Consider the following 20,984-nt stretch of genomic DNA (forward strand, 5'->3'; position numbering starts at 1 on the left):
GAGTTCTGAGTAACTGCAGACAGGGTGTGGTCACCGGGATTTGGTTATTGGATTTTTTTCCCCCTGTGGTTTTGGGCAGGTTGCTCCATGACGGGCAGCTGTATCGTCTTAGAACCGGACTTTCCGGGAGAGCCTTTGGGTCACTCTGGGCGTCAGCTGGAAAGGGCTGCTCTTGGAGCAAGCTCACTGGCCCACAGGAGGAGCTGCCTTCTTGAACTGTCACCCTGAAGCCAACCAAAGTCTGGGCAACGCCAGCTCCAGTGACTGCCGCTCCATCTCCTAGGCAATTTGCATCGCTGTTTCTGTTTGTTAGGCCTTGACCATTCCTTTGTTGTCATCCTGCGCTTCCCTGGCCATAGGCCTTTTCCCAGCCCCACCACGGCATGCCCACCTGTGCTTGGGGAGGGGCGGAGGAAGGAGCCCCAGCCAGCCATGTCCCTGTTTCGTGCTCCAGTGACCACTGCTATGAGGACTTTCCCACTGGCTCAGGCTCAGTTAGTCGAGCTGGTGTGCCCCGCTCTTAGCTGTTCCCCAACTCTCCTAGAGTGTGCTAATTCTGACCCAGCTCTCCCAGGTGGAGGATGCTTTTCAAACATGTCCTTGGGAACCTCTGCAGACCCATTCCCAGCCCATTCTCCATGATTCCAGGCCTGGCCAGGTTGAAAACTTCTGTAAATTAAAACTCAAATAAAGAGAGTATAGCTTGGGCATACCTTTTGCACATGCATATATATGTATGTGTGTGCATGTGTGTGTGTGCATGTATGTGTGTGCATGTATGTGTGTGCATGTGTTGGGATTTTTTATTTTTTAAATTTATATTTATTAAAAAAATTTTTTTTGAAACAAGGTCTTCTTCTGTCTCCCAGGCTGGGCTGCAGTGGTGTGATTATGGCTGACTGCAGCCTCAAACTCCTGGGATCAAGCAACCCTCCCACCTCAGCCTCCCAGAGCACTGGGATTACAGGTTTGAGCCACTGCACCTGGCCTATTTAAAAAGTTTGTCTAGAGCAAAAAGTCCCTAGACCTGCCAGTCCAGGGCACTAAATCACAAGAACACCAAGGCCAAACAGGCTTGAAGTCTCCAGGCTCCTCACTGGCAAACTCTACTTCCTGATCCCTTAGTGGGTTGAGGTGCCAACAGCCCCCTGGGGAGGAGGGGGTTGCATTATGGCCGTGGAGAGACTCTGAGCCTTATCAACGGTGTGGGGATGACACCCTTTTCGGAGCACTTTGTGAGGCTTTGTGCCATGCTGGGCGCTTGGCGTCAGAGACAAATAGAATCAATAACTGTGCAAAAAAAGTTGCCAGATAATTTATCCCATTGGCACCGAGCCTAGAATTATAATCAGATCTTGACTTCTTCAAAGCCTTCTTGCTTTGGATTTTCCAAATCGAAAATAAATATTGGGGGCAATTACCTTTCCTTAGTTCTCTGATGTATGAAGGGGAGTTTTCATCTATTAATTTAAGAACCCTCTCATTTCATTCGGAAGGTATTAGCCCATGGAACTTGTTAACTTAATATCAACACAGTCTGTCTAGGTTTTGACTGAAAAGAGAAAGGGGTTGTTATGCTCTAGGTTAATATTTTCCTCTCTTTAAGAAGTCTTGGGTATGCCAGACACTTCTCGGACAAAAACAGCTGTTTTCTTCCCATTGCTGAACGCATTGTTTGTGCGAGTTCACTTACTTGCTATACTCAGAATATCCTCCAGGAGTCAGCAAATCCCAACCTCTGGACGTGGCTCAGGGCCGCCCTGCCCATTGCTGAGCTGATTTGGAATTTGGGCCTGAGAGAGGAAGTGATTATTGGATGACAGGCTGCCTCCTAGGGGGCTTCTCTGGGCTTGCCATGAAAGCACTTCCGGAGGAAAAGCAGAGCTCCATCAGTCTCTTTTGGAGAGCTGTGAACGTGACCAGACCTATTAATTACTTAACTGAGGTGCTGAACTTTGAAAATGAAAGTTCCGGTGGGGAGTTCTGTCCTTTCCAGCCTGGGGAGCTCTGTCAGGGCTCTCCTGAGCGTCTCTTTCAGCTTATCAAGCTCGCTCGGGGACCGTCTCTGGTAAGTACAGGCAACCCCTCCAGCCAACCCCTCCACCCTGTGGGCCGGGGAAGTGTCTCATCGTTGAATCCACTTGCAGGCACTTCCTTGATCTCAAGCCCCACCACGCTGCCCCCAGAGTCCCAGCGAGTGGCTCAGTCACACTGGTGCGTGCCTCTCACCCGCTCTGACCTCGTCATGGGGTCCCCGAGGTGCTGGTTCATGCAAGGCTCTGTGCCTAACCAAGCTAAACACGGTGGGGCTGGGAGCAGAGGCTCACACCTGTAATCCCAGCACTTTGGGAGGCCAAGGCAGGTGGATCACCTGAGGTCAGGAGTTTGAGACCAGCCTGACCAACATGGTAAAACCCCGACTCTACTGAAAATACAAAAATTAGCCAGGCGTGACATCATGCGCCTGTAATCCCAGCTACTCGGGAGGCTGAGGCAGGAGAATCGCTTGAACCTGGGAGGCGGATGTTGTGGTGAGCCAAGGTCGTGCCACTGTACTCCAGCCTGGGTGACAGAGGGAGACTCCATCTCAAAAATAAATAAATAAACAAACTGGTACAGTGCCCTAGTGGCTTTGTGGCTCTGGCTGGGGGAGGAGGGTGGGTTGCATAACTGAGCAGCACCTCCAAGCACGATACCAACACTGCCCAGGGCCTGGCAGAGTCTACAGCTGGTCCTTATCCATGAAACTGGGGGTGAGGGGACGGGGACTGGCGGGGGGACAAATCACCTGCACAAGTGGAACAAAGATACAGGAGATAATGACAGCAAATGGAACGTAGAGTTGATGCGTTCATTGACAAAGAATTTCACACCCTGCATTATCTCACTTGAGCCCCATGAAGAGCCTGTGAGGTGGCTAGGGATGTGGAAGGAGTAGATAGGAGAGGCACAGAACAGGGGAAGGAAGGAGTGGGGCTGGGAGTGAGGACCAGGAAGGCAGAGCTGGCCCCTGGACAGGAAGAAAGCCCAACTGCCTCCCTCCCTCCCATCTGCCCTCCTGCCTGCCCTTTTCCAATAAGATGGAAATGCTGAAGGGGTTAAAAAGACAGCATTCTAAAAGCTGAGATCCTAAAATTGTGACCTCCCCTGTGATCTTAGCCTTCGTGTCAACAGCATTGAAAATGAACCTTGGTCGGGCACGGTGGCTCACGCCTGTGATCCCAGCACTTTGGGAGGCCGAGGCGAGTGGATCACCTGAGGTCAGGAGTTCAAGGCCAGCCTGGCCAACATGGTGAAACTCTGTCTCTACTTAAAAAAAAAAAAAATTGCCGGGCATGGTGGTGGATACCTGTAATCCCAGCTACTTGGGAGGCTGAGGCAGGATAATTCCTTGAACCCAGGAGGCAGAGGTTGCAGTGAGCTAAGATTGTGCCACTGCACTCCAGCCTGGGCAACAAGAGTGAAACTCTGTCTCAAAAAAAAAAAAAAAGGCAAAAAGAAAATGAACCCCTGGGAAAGTAGGCCTTGACCACTCTGCTGCTCTTATGGAGTTCATTCTTGGAGATGTCGTGAATAGATCTCCTTTGCATCCAGATGGAAGAGCAACAGGAACATTATTAAGAAACTAAAAATTCTAGATTCATTGGAAAAGGCTTTGAGAGAGAAGGGACAGGGAAACCCCTAATTCCACCTCCCTGAAAACAGTGTGTTTTCCTCTCCTACACCAGGGCCGTGTGTCTTTCTGTCTACGTGGCCCAGCCACATTTGTAGCCCGTGGCCTGATGGAGCTCTGATGAGTCAGTTTCATGTCATTTTTTTTTTTTTTTTTCAGAGAGAGAGTCTCACTCTGTCACCCAGGCTGGAGTGCAGTGGCATGATCTCGGCTCACTGCAACCTCCGCCTCCTGGGTTCAAGTGATTCTCCTGCCACAGCCCCTTGAGTAGTTGACGTTACAGGCACCCACCACCGCACCCAGATACTTTTCGTATTTTTAGTGGAGACGCTGTTTCACCATGTTGGCCAGTTGGTCTCGAACTCCTGACCTCAAGTGATCTGCCTGCCTTGGCCTCCCTATGTGCTGGGTTATAGGCGTAAGCCACTGTGCCCTGCTTCATGTCATTTTTAAAGAGCCCACACAACTCCTGTAGCTGCATTACGACAACCTCAACGGCAAGACCTCGACGTGATATTACTCCACGTGAAAGTCTAAAAGGCGCTGAGCACAGTGCTCTGCCAATGGTGTGTCTTCCAGCCTCGCTTGCTGAGAGAACAGATGTGCCGGGGAAGAAATGGACAAAGCTGGGAAAGGAGTCTAACTTCTTCAAAGCGGTTGGGCACCGGTGAGGCTCTTTTGGTTACAAACCACAGAAATGGATTCTGGTTTATCAGTTTAATCTCGGTGTAACTAAAAGTGGGAAGTACTGGAAGGAGACGCATTTCATGGGCTCAGAGGTGACCTTGGGGCACTGAGTTGGCCCTTCTGTGGCCAGGTGTCCCTCTCTCGGGGACCTGCCTTCCCATGCCCCAGTCTCAACTCTTGGTGTCTGTCTAATCTCAAACTCCCAAGAGACTGGATTGGATTAGATCAGTGTGGTGTAGCAAGAGGCACTGTGTGTGTGTGTGTGTGTGTGTGTGTGTGTGTGTGTGTGTGGTGTCATTAGGGAGATCTCAGAGAACAACCACCTTGGCCAACTTGTCTATCTCACGCCAGACGTTTTCACCCATCGTTCTGTCCAACCCTACATAATCCTGCCAGGGGGCTATCAGTTTTTTGTTTATGTTGAACGCTAAACTCAGCAGGAAAGAACACTGCTTTCTGGGATTTTCTTCATTTAAACCTCTATTGCCTATGAGAACAGTGTATTTTCTTTAAGGGCTACCAGGTTTTCTATTAATAGAAAATTAAAAAAATAGTGAGAAGTACCAAGAACAAAATTAACATCACCCATCATCCACCATTCAGACAGAAAAATGGTCCCCTTTGACTGATGTTCATCAGCTATATAAATCTCTACACACACACATATACACCCATACCTACTTTGAAGTAAAAATTATGAAGAGCACATTGTTTTGTGACCTTTCTCTTCACGTGCCGTGTTCTCCATTCTGTTAAATATTCACTTCCATCTTTTTAAATGGGTGCTTAATAAACTTTGACTCATACATGTTGCAAAATTTGTTTAATCAGCCCTCCATTGTCGCTTATTTAGGTGCTTCAAATTTTTTGCTGTTATTAGCACTGAAGTGATAATCATTCTGGAAAAAGTATCTTTATACATCTGTTGGATTCTTTCCCCAGGATAAAATTCTACAAGTGAAAATGCTGGGTTAAAGGATGCCCATGAAAACATTTTTAGATAAGCAGAATCCAATGCTCTTCTGAAACATTGTACCATGTGTCTTCTCCACCCAAGGGAACACTCAGTATCACTTAATTACAAAATATTTTTATAGTTTATATGAGAAAAATGACATCTCATTACTTTTTTTTTTTGAGACGAAGTCTCGCTCTGTCACCCAGGCTGGAGTGCAGTGGTGCGATCTTGGCTCACTGCAACCTCTCCTTCCTGGGTTCGAGTGATTCTCCTGCCACAGCCTCCCAAGTAACTGGGATTACAGGCATGCGCCACCATGCCTGGCTAATTTTTGTATTTTTAGTACAGACGGGGTTTCGCAATGTTGGCCTGGCTCATCTCGAACTCCTGATCTAAGGTGATCCGCCCCCCCTCGGCCTCCCAGAGTGCTAGGATTACAGGCGTGAGCCACTGTGCCTGGCCGACATCTCATTACTATTTAATTTTTTTTTAATTTTACCTTTTGTGAAGATACAACTTACAGAAAATGCACTCATGTTAATTGCACAACTCAATGAATTTTTGTGTATAGAGATGCCCATGTAACCACTACCCAGATCAAGGTACAAAACATTCCCACCACTCCAGAAGGCTCTCTGTGCCCTCTCCCAGCTAATGTCCCCCGATCAAAAGTAATCTCTATTCTAGGCTTTTTCACCTTGGAACAGTCTTGCCTTTTTCTGACCCTCATATAAGTGGAAATGTACAATATCTGCTGTTTTGTGTCTGGCTTCTTTTGCCCTGTGTGATGTCTGTGAGATTCACCTGTGTTGGTGTGTATTGGTATTTTTCTCATTCTCATCGCTGGGTATACCTCACTGCATGGATAAACCATTCCTCTGTGGAAAGATATTTTGGTTGTCTCAGTGTGGGGCTATTATGCACATTCTTGTAATGTCATTTGGTAGACATGAACACCCACATCCAAGGAATATGTGCCTAGGAGAGGAGGGGTTGAGTCAGATTGTATATTTAGTTTTCGTAGATACTTCCAAATCTTTTGTCTAAGTGGTTGTATCAGTTTACACTCCCACCAGAAGTGCATGTGAGTTCCAGTTGCTCTATATCCTTGCCAACACGTTGTATTGGTAGTCCTTTAAATTTCACATATTCTGTTTGGTTTTGTGTGTGTGTGTTCTTATTTTGTATTTTTATGATTGCAGGTCAGGTTGATCATTTTTGTTCCATGTGCATTGACTATTTGGGTTTCTTCTTTTTTGACTTGCTTGTTTCAGAAGCTTTCTATCCTTCTTTTGTATTGGGGTGATTGTATTTCTCATTGATTTTAGGAGTTATTTGTCTATTATTACGACACTTGGTTATGTGTGATGCCAATATATATGTGCTTTTGTCTAGAGAAAACAATGCTGAATGCTCACAAGTACTGAAGCCTTCCTACAGGTGAAGTATTACACTAAGGGTTTTATATAAAATCTCATTGATCCTTATACTTTACGGAAGAAACTAAGACACGGAGGGGGTAAAGAACCTGGCTAACGTCACACTGTTAGTAGTTGCTGGGATGGGATTCTCACCCACAAAGTTGGACACCAGACCTCAAACTTTCAGCCATTATGGTCAATCATCTTGTGAATTTTTGACTGGGCCACTTATTGTCAAGGCTGCTGGCGTGAATTGTGGAGTCTTCTTTTACAATTATTTCTGGAGTGATGATTTCATTCTGTTACGCAGCTGACTTCTGTTTAAAGGAGACATTTTGTGTGCTCTTTGTGATTTTATTGGAAGAGAACACAGTGTGACTGAGATTTCTGATGCCACCGGGAAACATGCAGCAGAGACCCCTGGGTGGTCACCCACCAGTCCTCAGCTGGGCTCATGGCTGGGCTGTGTCTCCAGCCTTCCCTCATCACCTCCCTGCTGGTCCCCTCAGCCTTCACCAGACTGCGCTGTGTGCTGTCTCCTGCCCATGGCTCAGGTCTGGGAGGTTTCTGTAGCTCAGCCCTATAAGTCAGAGCTAAATTGTTACTGGAGACAAGGGTCTAGTTAATTCTTTTAGTATTATCCTCCTCCCATGCTTCAGTCACCTGTACTCCCACTTTTGAAATATGATCTCTGAACTAATAGTAATAGCTAACACTGCTCTGTTTATTATCAATACTTTACACACAGCATGATATGGTTTGGCTGTATCCCCATCCACATCTCATCTTGAATTGTAGCTCTCATAATTCCCTTGTGTTGTGGGATGGAGCCAGTGGGAGATAATTGAATCATGGGGGCAATTTCACCCATACTGTTCTCATGGTAGTGAATACGTCTCATGAGATCTGATGGCTTTGTAAGGGGAAACCCCTTCCACTGGGCTCTCTTTCTCTTCTCCTGTCTGCCGCCATGTGAGACATGCCTTTCACCTTCCACCATGATTGTGACTTCTTTCTTTTGTAAATTGCCCAGTCTCGGGTATGTCTTTATCAGCAGCGTGAAAATGGACCAATATGTAACACATATAAGTAGGTCATTTAATTGTCAAAACAACCTTAGGAGGGAGAAAGATAAAATATCTTGTCCAAGGCCCCACAGCTAGGGATGGAGCCAGGGTTCAAACCCAGCCAGACTGGCTCCTGACTTTTCACCAGGCTGTGTTTCCCTGAGAGGGAGTGCGAGGCCAGCAGCCCAGGCCCATGTGGTGGTCCTGCAGCCGTGGCTACAATAGCAAGTTCTCAGGGTTTTCTAAGGCATTGCATCTTTTTTCCTTTTATTGGGAGAAGGGGTTGTGATTGTGTGAGCCTATTTCCCCCTTTTATTCTCATCAGTGTCTCACACTTCACTTGCAATAAGTGAATATTCCCATTGGATGAGTTTCCCAACACTGCCATAACAAATCACCATTAACTGGGAGGCTTAAAACAACAGAAATGTATTGTCTCACAGTTCTGGAGGCCAGAAGTCCAAAACCAAGGCCTCAACAGCATTGGTCCCTTTGGCGGCTCTGAGGGAGAATACAGTCCATGTTTGTTTCCCGGCCTCTAGTGGTGGTTGGCAGCCCCCAGTGTTGCTTGGCTTAGTGACCCATCCCTCCAGTCTTTGCCTCCATCTTCACATTGACTTCTCACTGTGTCTCAAATATCCCTCTTCTTTCTCATACAAGAACACCAGTCCCTGGATTTAAGATCCACCCTTAGTCCAGGATGATCTCACACCTAGATCCTTAACTTAATTATGAATGCAAAGACCGTAGGTCTAAATAAGGCCACATGCACAGGCATGGAGGGCAGGACTTGTACATAACTCTGGAGGACATGATTCATCCACTGCACCCCTCATCTCTGGATTTACATCCAGAAGCAGGGTACCCACTTGCCAAGGTGCAAACTAGGTGCAAGCTGGCCCACCTGACCCTTCCTCAAGGCACAAAGGACACCTTCGTGTTTCACGCTTTCGGGGACTGAGAAGCAGGAAGCACTCCCTTGCCACCCCCATCCTCCCGCCGCCTTGTTTTCCTTTTCGTTTTCCCTGCGACATCTCCTACCACATCCGGCACTGGATTCTCCTCTGTGCGTTGGTGTTGGTGTGTCAGCTTCTTTATAAACTGCAATCAGTTACTCCTGCCAGGTGAGCCTTATGAAGAGACAGCAGCAATTTGAGCAAACGCTTGTCTAATTTGTTGATATCATTTAGCAAGATGAAATGACTGGAACAAGGAATATGTTTCTGAATGTACATGCTCTGAATGAAGATCTCTAGATGGTTGGGAATAAGTTACCACACACCTGGAAAAAATAATCTGTGTTTTCTTTTTGCCTGTCATGAATGAATGAAGAGGCTAGAATAAGTCTCCCACATGGTCTCCTTCATCAGATCCAAATTTGGGTTTTTATTCTTTGCAGTTATTCCAAACTCTGAATACAAATGTCTTCTGTAGGTCAACAAGTATGATATGAACCACAGGTGTTATGCTTATTGGTGTACGGTAGTATGAAATTAAAACAGTTCTCTTTAGAATGCAGTATTTAAAATTGCGCAGTCTTTAAATTAAAAGTTCAAAAATCCAAGAAGAAATTGGGAGGAGACACAGAACAGAGGGAGGTTAGGAAAAATAAAATTTTTGGCAACACACACACACACACACACACTCTCTCTCTCTCTCTCTCTCTCTCTCTCTCTCTCTCTCTCTCTCTCTCTCTCTCTCTCTCCTGGCACCTGGGAATTGCAGGGGCTGACACCTGGAGCTGAGAGGTGGGCTGCCGAACTCCCCGGCAATGGTTGAATCCTTGTCTCTGATTCTACAGACACTGTGGGGCTTACCTTCTTTGCAAGGAGGCTGGTGGCCACTCATCCTGTTCCTGCTGTCACCACCCAAATTTAAGGCCCCCACCACGGTCCCACCACTCTTCTAATTGCCTCCTCCTTGGGCCACTTCCTGCCCAACCCTCTCCCCTGAAACCAATCTTCCAAATCACTTCTAGATTCGTCTTAAAACATCCATGTCAAGACGTCACTCCTCAAAACCTCTGAAAAACCTGCTACAGTAAAGAATCAGTATGACCCACCACATACACAAGTATGTGCAAATATACATGCTTACATACATACATGTAGATATATATGTATATGTGTACACACACACAAACAAGCAAGATTCATGGAAGAATTCTTGTTCACTACTCCTATGTGACATTCCTTCTGCTGTTTCCTGTTCCACTCCGCGCCATTCGATTCGATTCCACTTGATTGGAATTCATGCTGCAGGTGCCCCACTACCTTCATCTCAAAACCCCTGAATGGGTTGTACCCACACTTTGACACAGGCAAAGCTGGAAATCTGAAGCCTGGTTCTCAAAGTTCCCACCAATGTGCCCCACCTCCTACTGCTGCCCCCACCATCTCTCCAGCTTCTTTTGGAGGTGGCGCTGCCCAACTCTCAGTGGTGCCTAAAGCCCAGGGCCCTTTTCTGGCTATACCTTTTTTGAGTCCTTTCTGACCTCACCCTGCTTGTCCTTCTGGGTCAGTTCAATCCCTGCCTCCTTCCTGAAGAGTCCTTGACCGAGATTCCCCTTTCTTTTTTTCTGCCTCACATATCAAGTATCTGATTAGGAGGCTGGACTCTGCTTTCAAAATGCTTAATTCATGAACAACCCACACACCTAGGTTTGTTTCCAGGTTCAGATCTTCAGGGGTATGCGTGGCCTGGAGAGGGCCTTCATCCACACACGCTTAAAGCTTCAGCAAGTTCCTGATGCCCAGAACAACCAACCCTTCCCGCCCTGCGGCCCCCACCCTCGGGATAATGGGAATGTTTTCGTAGCAAGTTGGAACGAGAAATCAATTTTCCTGCTGAGGTAACCAGCACTACATAGGTAGGTGGACCTGAAAAGGTGCTTTGAGAGCCATGCTTTAAACACATTTGATGATGTTGGCTTTTACGAGCTAGCCAAGCAACCTGCCCCTCTTGGAGGCATTTTTATGGGGCAAGGTATTACATTGTGTATAAGTACTAAGCCACTGGCCTACAAACAACTTTTGGGGTGCTGTCTGTCCTCTGGTTGAACGCCTCCTGTGCTGCCTGTCTCGCCACCTCTCCACATGGGTGTGTCTTATCTCCACAACTCAATGGTTTCCCACTTGCTGCAGGGCTTAGCGCGGCGCCTTATGCCGGCGATACCTCCCTAACCAGGCTGGTGACGTCTTGTCCTCCCCATCTCTGGCTGCCTAGCGTCCTCGGCTCTGTCTTCATCGTGGTTTGTCCTGGAGTCAATGGGTCCCTGCCTGTTGCTTGGAAACCCTTAGGAATACTTACCAGGAAAAGGAGAAGAAGGAAGGTGATGAGGAAAGGGAAATAGACAAGAGAAAAAAGGAAGAAGGATAGGAAAGGGGAAGAGAAAACGGGAACTAGATAAGGATAAAGGAAGAGAAATGAAGAGAGAAGAAATGAAGAAAGACACGAAAAGGAGGAGAAAAAAGGAGAACAAAAAGGGGGAAAGATGAGTATAGGAAAAATAAAAAGAGGAGAAAACAGGAGGGAAAAAGGAAAATAAAGGGGGAAAAACCCACATTTCTACTACTCTGACCAGAAGCTATTTCCCAGTAGAAAAGGGCAGGGAAGCCAGACCAGGTGAAGGTGTGCGAGTGAGAACTCAGTTTCTGGATTCCCAGCCTGGACAAAAAGGGACCGAGGAGAGAGGCTGGGAAGGCATATCTGGGGGGCAGGAAGCCGCACCCAGTGAACAGAGCCCACAGCTGCAGGGAGCACTGGGCTGGGGTCCCCGTTTATAGGCCTGAGCTGAGCATCTCCCTCTGAGAGCTGTAGTAAGTTGTTGGTGGTCTGCAGGGCTGCGAATGTAAGGTAATTTTAGTCACTTAGCTATATTTATTGCTTTCCCAAATCCAAAAGAGCCTTGATCTTTTTCCTTAGAGCTGGAGCCTCCAGAACTACAAGTCTTTGACTCTGAGACAGGATAGAAATGACGTTTCTGACTCTGGCTGTGTGTTAGTACCACACAAAGGTCCCAGAAATCCTGGTGGCCAGACCACAGCCCAGACCATGTAAATCAGAATCTTTGGGGGCGCCACCAGGCATTTGTATCTTGTGAAGCTCTTCAGGGTATTGTGTGCAGCCAAAGTCAAGGTCTGATTCTTTAGTGGTACATAGAGAGCAGATCCTAGGACCCTACTGGGACATCCGGGGGCCCTGCCTTTTATAGGTTGCATGGTGGGAAGCAGAGATGGGGAAAACAAATCGTGTGGGTTGATTTGAAGCCTAATGAAAAAGAAATACTGATTTGGGTCTTATATGGTGTACCAAGTATTAGTTAAGACTGTTAAAATGTTTGTGATAAAATAAAGACACGTTTGGGGAGCATTTCTAACAAGAGCCCTACTCATGTCAACACTTGTAGGCTGGGTACATGGCTCACACCTATAATCCCAGCACTTTGGGAGGCAGAGATAAGATGAGGATCGCTTGAGCGCAGGGATTCAAGAGCAGCCTTGAAAACATAGCAAGACCCCCTGTCTTTACAAAAAATAAAAATTAGCCAGGTGTGGTAGTGCCTATAGTCCCAGCTACTCAGGAGGCTGAGGCTGAAAGATTGCTTGAGCCCAGGAGTTCAAGGCTACAGTGAGCCATGATCGTGCCCCTGCATTCCAGACTGGGTGACAGAATGAGACCCTGTCTCTAAAAAACCACTTGTGGATCCATGATTGTCTTCAGCCTTCATCCTGCTGCTTCCCATAAGCTGTGGGCAGTTCCCAACACTGCACAAGGATTTGGTGTTGATGGAACCAAGGATGATAATTCTGTCAACAGGCAGCACCCACGAAGGGAGAAGTCCCAACGAGGTTCAAAGCTGGATTGGCACCTACCAAGTGACTCAATAGCATGATGCCTCCACTGCCTTCCTGTCCTCCCGTGTTCAGGGGTCATACTGTCTCCTGGCTTCTCTGTTCTGTGTGGTTATTGGGAGATAAAATGATGAAAGTAATTTTCCAGAGAATGATGCTGTGAGCACACAGGTGTTTGCTGAATGAATGAATGAACAAATGTGTGAATGTAACTTGTGTTAGCGTTACCCTACACTGTCGTCTCTGCCCAGAGGTGACAACAGCAAAATAATTCAGTCCACAGGCTGTTCTTTTTTTTAGTGTAATTGTCAAAAAAAAGTCCAGCTAAAAAAATTCTATTTTGCTTGTATAAATAAACAGAAACCTTATACCCCTGAGCCAAGTGGAAAATTTTCTCAGTAAAAATTTGTAGGGACAGAGAGTTTTTAAATTTATAAAGGAATTTAATAATTTTTCCAAAATTACTGAGAATTTCAAATGCCTCACCACAAAAAAATGATGAGTAAGTGAGGTGGTAGATATGTTAATTCTCTTGATTTAATCATTCCTCATTGTATACATATATCAAAACATTGCACTAGACTCCATAAATATATATTATTTTTGTCAATTACAAGTAATAATTAGAAAAAACGATAATTTCTTATGTACCCACCTGTGATATAACTATAAAGTCATTAATTTGGATTCTATTAATTTGGCATTTGCAGTAACATATGCCTGTCCAACCAATTCTTCTCGGAAAAAAATGTTCACAGTAATTCTTTCCCTGATGGAGAGAATACTGAGTCCAAAGTTTAGAAGCTTAGGGTCCAATCCCAGACAATTAATTAGCTACATGAGGTTGGAAAAGTCACAGCCTCTGTGAATCTCTTCTGTAAAACTCCAGTTTGTGAAGAGCATAAAGTTAATAAAAGGACTCCGTGAACTGTGAAGTGCTTTGTAATGTATTTAGAGTCTTTCATATAACCTAAATCAAATCGTTTATTAGCAGCTTTCTTCACCCCAAGATACATGCGACTCCCTCACTTGGTTTCAACTTCTGGGCCGAGCAATTGTTCATGAATATGCTTATCATCAGACTGTACGAAATACAGCACCTTTCTTTATCACATAAACCCTTAAAGCTAGAAAGCCCCAGGGACAATTTTTTTTTTTTTGTGAGACGGAGTCTCACTCTGTCACCCAGGCTGGAGTGCACTGGCGCAATCTCGGCTCACTGCAAGCTCCGCCTCCCGGGTTCACGTCATTCTCCTGCCTCAGCCTCCCAAGTAGCTGGGACTACAGGTGCCCGCCACCACGCCCAGCTAATTTTTTGTATTTTAGTAGAGATGGGGTTTCACCATGTTAGCCAGGATGGTCTCAATCTCCTGACCTCGTGATCCGCCTGCCTTGGCCTCCCAAAGTGCTGGGATTACAGGCGTGAGCCAGCGCGCCCGGCCAGGGACGGTGTTTTTAAAAATGTGTCTAATTATCAAAATTACCAAGAAGATATACACACTCACAGGTCTGTGTGTGTATGTCTAGGTGTGTATATATGCTGGTATGCATGTACACATCTATATGTGTATATACGTGTATGTATGTAAAGATATACAACATGGATATATAATATATACAATACACATATATTATACATGAGCATATTGCACATATACATGAGTGTATAATATATACAATACACATGTATATTATACATGACAATAATGTATACATTATAGATATACATTATTACATTGTGCATATATTATGCATGAGTATATATGTATATATGCATGCATATATAATTATGTATATTATATGTATATGCGTATGTGTGTATATCTATGTATCCCTACCTCCTGATTCACTAGATTGTGGATGGGGCTCAGGAATCTGGGTCTTTAAAGTTCCACATGTGATTCTGATTACCAGCAGTTTAGGGGACCACCCTCCTCACTTTTTACTCCTGAAGAAACAGGCTCAGAGAGCTAGTGGCATGGCTAGGGTCAGCAGCCGGTTAGAGGAGAAGCTGGAAATGGAGCCCAGCCCTCCCAATCCTGGCTCAGAGCAGGTTATCATAAACCATGCTGCCCATTGTCCACACTAACCTACTCAGAACTGAGCTCTAAAATTCTTGTTTGGCAGCTAGTTAGCTAGTCAGACTAGATTCCTCTATCATTGTCCCACGTAACCCCTTAAGGGATCAGGCAGAGCAACTGCTGCCTGCAGAGGGCCGTGAGTCCTGCCAAGGTGGCCTCTGGAGCCCTGATGCATCACCTGTAGGCAGCATCCAAGTGCCCAGACCTCTGGGGCCTGCTCCGGGCTTCCTGGAGGCAGATGGGCATCATCGTAGCAGGTGTCTTTCTCCTTGGTGTATGAGCTTTCCACGGAGTTGTTATGTCTAAATCAGATTCCAACATTCAAGAGCCTGTCTTTGGGAAGGCAATGGAAGGTCTTAAGCAGAGGAATAATAACCAAATATACCTGACCCAGGTTGTCTGGTCCATCCTCAAGTGGGAAACCAAAATGGAGGCAGGGAGATCTGGGGTGGGGGGCGAGGGGGCTGTCTCAATGTCCTGGCAATACCCTGCTTCAATATCCTCTGTCGAGGGCAAGGATCTTCTTACGGTAGGCTGTGGGCCCAATCTGGCCGGCTGCTGGGTTTTGTCTGGCCCATTAAGTAGGAATGGTGAACACTCTCGATTGATTTGATGAGAGAATACTACCTCTGAGCCCCAATGAAGTGAGATTTTATCCCCTCTAAAAAAAGAATTCATTTTTTTCTCATTAGTTGAACTGTATTTTTTTAATATCCTTGATTTTTAATAATATTGTCATATTTTAATTTTCATTAATAAAAAAGTATGGAAATGTGCTTTCACTCTTTTTATGGAAGTAACTGCTGCAGGGCATCGTGGCTCATGCGTGTAATCCCAGCACTCTGGGAGGCCGAGGCAGGTGGATCACCTAATATCAGGAGTTCAAGACCAGCCTGGCCAACATGGTGAAACCCTGTCTCTACTAAAAATACAAAAATTAGCTGGGTGTGATGGTAGGCACCTGTAATCTCAGCTACTCGGGAGGCTGAGGCAGGAGAATCACTTGAACCCGGGCAGGGAAGATTGCAGTGAGCTGAGATTGCACCGTTGCACTCCAGCCTAGGTGACAGAGTGAGGATCTGTCTCAAAAAAAAAAAATAATAATAAGTAACTGCATAGTAGGTTTGATTTTGCCTCTTGCCCTACAACACCTGAAGTATGCACTATCTGGCTCTTCACCAAAAAGGGCTACTGAGCTCTCCCTGGTCTAGGTGTTGGTGGAGAAAATGGATGGGTTCGGATGTATTTTGGAGTGAGAGCCAGTAGGACTTTAATTTTAATGCTGGCAGAACATAGACTATGCTGCAGGGTGGGACAGAGTCACTTGATCCCTAAGACAAGTCTAAGACTATGAGGGGCCATGGTCCACCACCGTCATAGCAGGTGTCTTTCTTCTTGGTGTATGAGCTTTCCAAGGAAGTGTTATGTCTAAATCAGATTCCAACATTCAAGGGCCCAACTGTATATGCGAAGGCAATGGAAGGTCTTATGCAGAGGAATAACAACAAAATATACCTGACCCAGGTTGTCCGGTGCCAGGTGGAGGATGGACCACCTGGGAACCAGAATGGTGGTGATGAGGCCCCCAACATGGCCTAGAGCAGCCCTCCCCATGGTCCCCTCTGGGTTGAGTCTCGGGCTCCTCCCATGCCCCAGCTGAGCCCATAGGTCTCCTGTGTACCAGCAGCCTGTTGACCAGAATAAGCAGTGCCTGGCACAGGCCCTGGAGGCTTCATGTTATAGCCCATAAACAACGCCGTATTTATTGACGGATGACTATCATTGTCAAGTTTCCAGCCACCACCCCACCTTCCATAGGACCAGCAGGCTGGCTCCTGGCTGGCACCAAGAGTGAGCGGCTTGGGCATTTAATCAGGTTCAGGTAACAGGTAAGGACTGGTTCCCCAGCTAGGGAAAAACACAGTGAATATTTTGGATTGAGCCATGTGTGCCGCATCTTGCTGGAGCTTGCAGGCCCCTTGGAGGCTCTCAGACGGCTCTTAATTAATTGCTGGAGCCAAGTGGGGCAATCTTGTGAGCGCTGTTGCTTTTGCTCATCTGATCCAGCCATGCTCAGGGGAGGGTGAGGAGCTGGCCTTGGATTTAGGGGATGAATGGGGTGGGCTGGGATATGGGAGGAGCTCAGTGGCCTGGCCAAGATGGTTGGGACAAAGCTTGGAATAGCCAACCTGTTTGTCAAGCAAATGGACAGGCCCTTTCTTCCAGGCAGAGAAAGACCTTGCTTCAGCTCCCTGGCTTGGGGAGGAGAGACCCAGATTCGAATCCTAGCTCTACTACTAACTAACTCTGGGACCATGGGGCAATTAGCTGCTTTAAGCTTCACTGTCTCATCTGTAAAATGCATGCAGTGATACTACCTCGAAGGATTGTGGTGGGAATCAAATGAGATGAGGGTAATGCCATGCACCATAGTCCCTGCAAGGCCACTGGGTCCCTGTAAGGCCACTGATCAGTGGGGCATGCCAACACTAGAGGCAGTGCTAACCCTAGGAGGCGGGGACAGCAGAAGAGATCTCAGGTGGGCCCATGTCCCTAAGGGGAGAACGAGCCCTGGGCACCAGGGACATCATGCAGTGAAGATGCTGGAGGTGGGAATGGGGTTTCAAGTGCCAGGGACCATCTCCTTAACTCCTCTGCACTCATGCATGCAGCTCCTGCAAGGCTTGGCAGAGCTCGGGCTGAAGAGGAAAGGCTCCTGCCTACCCAGCCATAGGTCCCCAGTGGATGCAAAGGGAACTTTTCCTTGGTCCTGGTCCTCAGTGGAACCCGTTTTGTTTCGATTGTCCCTGACCTGGCCTGTGCTCTCGCTGCACCATCCTGTGGAACACAGACACCTGGAGAGTCAGAGCTGGCTGGATCTTTGGAAGGGCACAGTCACAGCTGCACCCGCCACTCCTTCCCATCCCAGGCTCGATACTTCAGTAATCCTTGCTGCCTGAGCTTCCCTTATGGGTCCCAGGTCACACCTTCTTTCCTCCTATTCTGTTTGCTGAGATACCTTCTCTTCAAATCCTTCTCCTATAGAGAGGTTTCCATGAGCCGTGGGATGGGATGGGTGTGGCCCTCTTCTGGGATCCAGAGCTCCATGGAGAGCCCTCTGACTTGGTTCCTGACTCCTTCTGCAGACCTTGTCTCCATCTTGCTTCCCTCCTCCATCAGTCCTCTAGGCCTTGAGGACAGGCACTGAGTCTTACTGCAGTGTTGAGGCTCCAAGATGGCAGTGATCTCCCAATAAATATTTGCTAACCTCAGCTGATTTCTTTACTTTATGATGTAAGAATTGAAGCTACAAGAGGGTCTGTGACCTGCCTAAAGTCATATGCAAATTAACCAGATCTTGGCTCCAGTAGTCTACTTTGACTCGAGTGCTGTTTCCCTTAAATCATGCAGCTTGTCAGGTCAGGTCAAGCATAGCCTGGATCTCACCACATTCTTACGGGATTGAAGGATGTAATATTAATGACTCAGTAGGCTTGGAATCAGCCAATCAGCAAGTGCTCCTTGAACCCCTTGATATGGAAGGTACAGGTAGAGAAGGTAGTAATTTTTCACAAGTCTCAAACTCAGCTATGTAGAAATATAGATTTGGTTTTCTTCCCTTATTTTTAATAGATTATACAATCATATTACATAAAAGCAAAACCAATACAAAAAAGCTACAACTTTTTACGTCTTATTTATATTTTCTTAGATTTTATGAATCTTTGAAAAATATAACCAAAGTGAATATATGTTCTTAATTTTCCCTTTTTGCATAAAGCCTATTGCATACACCATTTTGCACCTTGATTTCTTTGTTTCCTTTCCATACTTTTACGTAGAGAGCTTCTTTACTGTTTTATAGCTGTAGAATATTCCATTATTGATTTAACCTGCCTCCTATTGGGGGACAATTGGTTGTTTTCAATCTTTCCTTATTATAAACAAAACTGCAGTGAATAACCACAGCCGATAGGAAGGCTGATAGGAAAAATTTCCAGAAAAGCAATCACTAAGGTAGAGGGCAAATGCTTTTGTAAGTTTTATAGATGTTTTCAAATTTCCCTCTGCAAGGCTGTGATAATTTAGGCCTGCATTGGCCCTGGTGAGAGTCAGCCTACCAGCCACAGCCCCACCAGCCACAGCCCCACCAGCAGTGTCAACTCAGTTTCCATTCAGAGTCCTCCTTCCACCTAGTGGTAGAAACAATCTTAATGAATTTAGGGTAAATGCATTCATATACACTGGATTTTTCTTGGATAGTTTAGGACTTAGCTCAGTGAGCTCAGGAGTTTCTGTCTTTCCTTTCTTCCCAGAAAAGCAGCTGCCTAAACCACAGCATCTGGTGTCAACATTCTCTGCCCTCTTTGGCTTTGGCCAAGATGCCTGTGGTCCCAACATGGCAGTCAGCACATGGCTGTCTGTGTTTTACTCTTCTCCTTCCTCCTCCTCCTCCTTCTTTTTCTTCATCTTTTGGATCGCAGGTACACAGAATTGGATTAATCATAAACTTTGGGTCATGCCAAACTCTCACCATGGCCCACTTCTATTTAGTTAATTATTTATAATAATGATTAAAATAATTAGTTATGTTATGAGATGCCTGTTGTTAAAGATGAACAAAGCCAGATACTAGCTAAAGTGGCGAGGACAGATTTTAATCAGGAATAACTATTGCAATGGGGAGAAGAGTTCAATGTGACTTGAACTTGGATTTGTACAGAGGTAACTGCACATTTTAAAGGGAGAATGAGGGAGCAGGCAGGGGCAAGTGGGGGCTCAGCAGAATCAGGAAAGTGAAAAATTACACAGAGTTCACCAGCAAAAATGTGACTAGGCCAGCTGTGTCTGCTGGCTGACAATTATCAAAGTTAGGATTCTCTCCTCCCATGGAGACTGGGAGGCAGAAGCCCTGTCCTCAGGTTTTGGCTGGAACAAACAGTAGATTTTTTTGCTAGCCTTGAGTTTTCTCATGCAGGCACTTTGAGGAGGGTAGGGCCATCCTAGGGATGTGGCCTTGGGCTGTTAGAAAAGACATTAGCGTTTGCTCAAGTCTTTATTGCAAGGCTGAGGCCTAGTGGAGAGGAGGGCCCTGAGAAGGCTGGCTAAAGTTCCATCAGAGAGAGTCTTTGTCATGGAGACCCTACTGAGGTCTCCAGTCATCAGCCCCCACCTCTGATTCCTTCCTATCCTGACCGTGAGGTCCCAGGCACACCCCTCTCAGGGAGAGAGGACAAGTTCTGGTGCTCTCTGAGGCTCTCTGGTACTATCTTGGCCATCTCTTCTTAGCCCTGCTGCCTTTTCTACTCAACTGCTTTTGGGGGTGGGAAGTAGGGGAGCAATTCTTTGAGGGCCCAGGCTGGGGAAGGAGTGATAGGAATTGGTGTGCTGGCAAATGTCTCCCAATTGGCTCTGATAGCAAGGGGAGAGGTGTGCAGAAAGGCCTGAATCTATAGCACTTGCTGATTTCAGGGACATGAAAACTCCCATTAAGGTCAATTTCAGGCTACCAGCCTCAAGCAGTTCACAAAATTCCTGAAAATTTAACAATTGGCTGCCAGCATGGGCCAGCTCCAAGCTTACCTGTGGGGAAAAATTTGTCTAGTCTCTAGGGAAAGGGTCACGGTCATCTAGTTCTTGTGTGTGCTCTTTTCTACCAAGTGTCCTTGACCAGGGCTTGATATTCTTTGGGAGTTCAAAAACCTCCTCTTGCAAATTAAAAACCTTGACCCTGATGTGACACCCAGAGGCCTGACTTGGAACACCAAAGGCATAACTTTTACTCTGATCTCTCTCTCTCTTTTTTTCTTTTAGAGACACGGTCTTGCCCTGTTACCTAGGCTGGAGTGCAGTGCTGTAATCATAGCTCAAGTGATCCTCCCACCTTAGTCTTCTGAGTAGCTAGAGTCCTGGCTAAAAATAAAATATAAATAAATAAATAAATAAATAAATACATTAAAAAAATAAAATTAGCCAGGCACATGCCACCACACCTGGCTAATTTTAGTTTTAATTTTTTTTTTTTTTTTTTTTTTGTAGAGATGGGGGTCTCTGTATGTTGCCCAGGCTGATCTCGAACTTTTGGCCTCAAGTGATCCTCCTGTCTCAGCCTTCCAAAGCATTGGGATTACAGGAGTGAGCCACTGCACCTGGCCCTGATCTCTGTATTCTTTGTAGCCCCTCTCAGTGGTTAGCATATACCACTGTAGCAATAAAGGAAGAGAGTTGTGGGGAGAATAAGGAA

General features: G+C 46.2%; 1 long non-coding RNA gene across 2 annotated transcripts in view, besides 3 other annotated features; it reads left to right on the forward strand.

Annotated features, from left to right (window-relative positions):
* Positions 1,756-2,257: an enhancer, noted in NCBI's record as "H3K4me1 hESC enhancer chr21:36118001-36118502 (GRCh37/hg19 assembly coordinates)". NCBI's record gives its function as "activates a minimal SCP1, AML or CMV promoter by ChIP-STARR-seq in naive and primed H9 embryonic stem cells {active_cell/tissue: H9 hESC(naive and primed)}" and the evidence as "EXISTENCE:reporter gene assay evidence [ECO:0000049][PMID:30033119]".
* LINC01426 (long intergenic non-protein coding RNA 1426) overlaps positions 1,877-20,984 on the forward strand; it is a 39,062-nt gene continuing 19,954 nt past the window's right edge. The window contains exons 1-2 of one of the 2 annotated variants that reach the window (NR_038886.1): positions 1,877-2,068; positions 3,833-4,419. This is a non-coding gene — a long non-coding RNA (long intergenic non-protein coding RNA 1426). Of the gene's footprint in view, positions 2,069-3,832; positions 4,420-20,984 lie in introns of those variants that run through there. The other variant, NR_038885.1, reaches the window with a different exon arrangement.
* Positions 2,258-2,757: an enhancer, noted in NCBI's record as "H3K4me1 hESC enhancer chr21:36118503-36119002 (GRCh37/hg19 assembly coordinates)". NCBI's record gives its function as "activates a minimal SCP1, AML or CMV promoter by ChIP-STARR-seq in naive H9 embryonic stem cells {active_cell/tissue: H9 hESC(naive)}" and the evidence as "EXISTENCE:reporter gene assay evidence [ECO:0000049][PMID:30033119]".
* Positions 2,964-3,258: an enhancer, noted in NCBI's record as "tiled region #10169; HepG2 Activating DNase matched - State 5:Enh". NCBI's record gives its function as "activates a minimal TATA promoter and a strong SV40 promoter by Sharpr-MPRA in HepG2 cells {active_cell/tissue: HepG2}" and the evidence as "EXISTENCE:reporter gene assay evidence [ECO:0000049][PMID:27701403]".

This window comes from Homo sapiens, chromosome 21 (assembly GCF_000001405.40).
Source record: "Homo sapiens chromosome 21, GRCh38.p14 Primary Assembly".
NCBI classification, from domain to species: domain Eukaryota; kingdom Metazoa; phylum Chordata; class Mammalia; order Primates; family Hominidae; genus Homo; species Homo sapiens.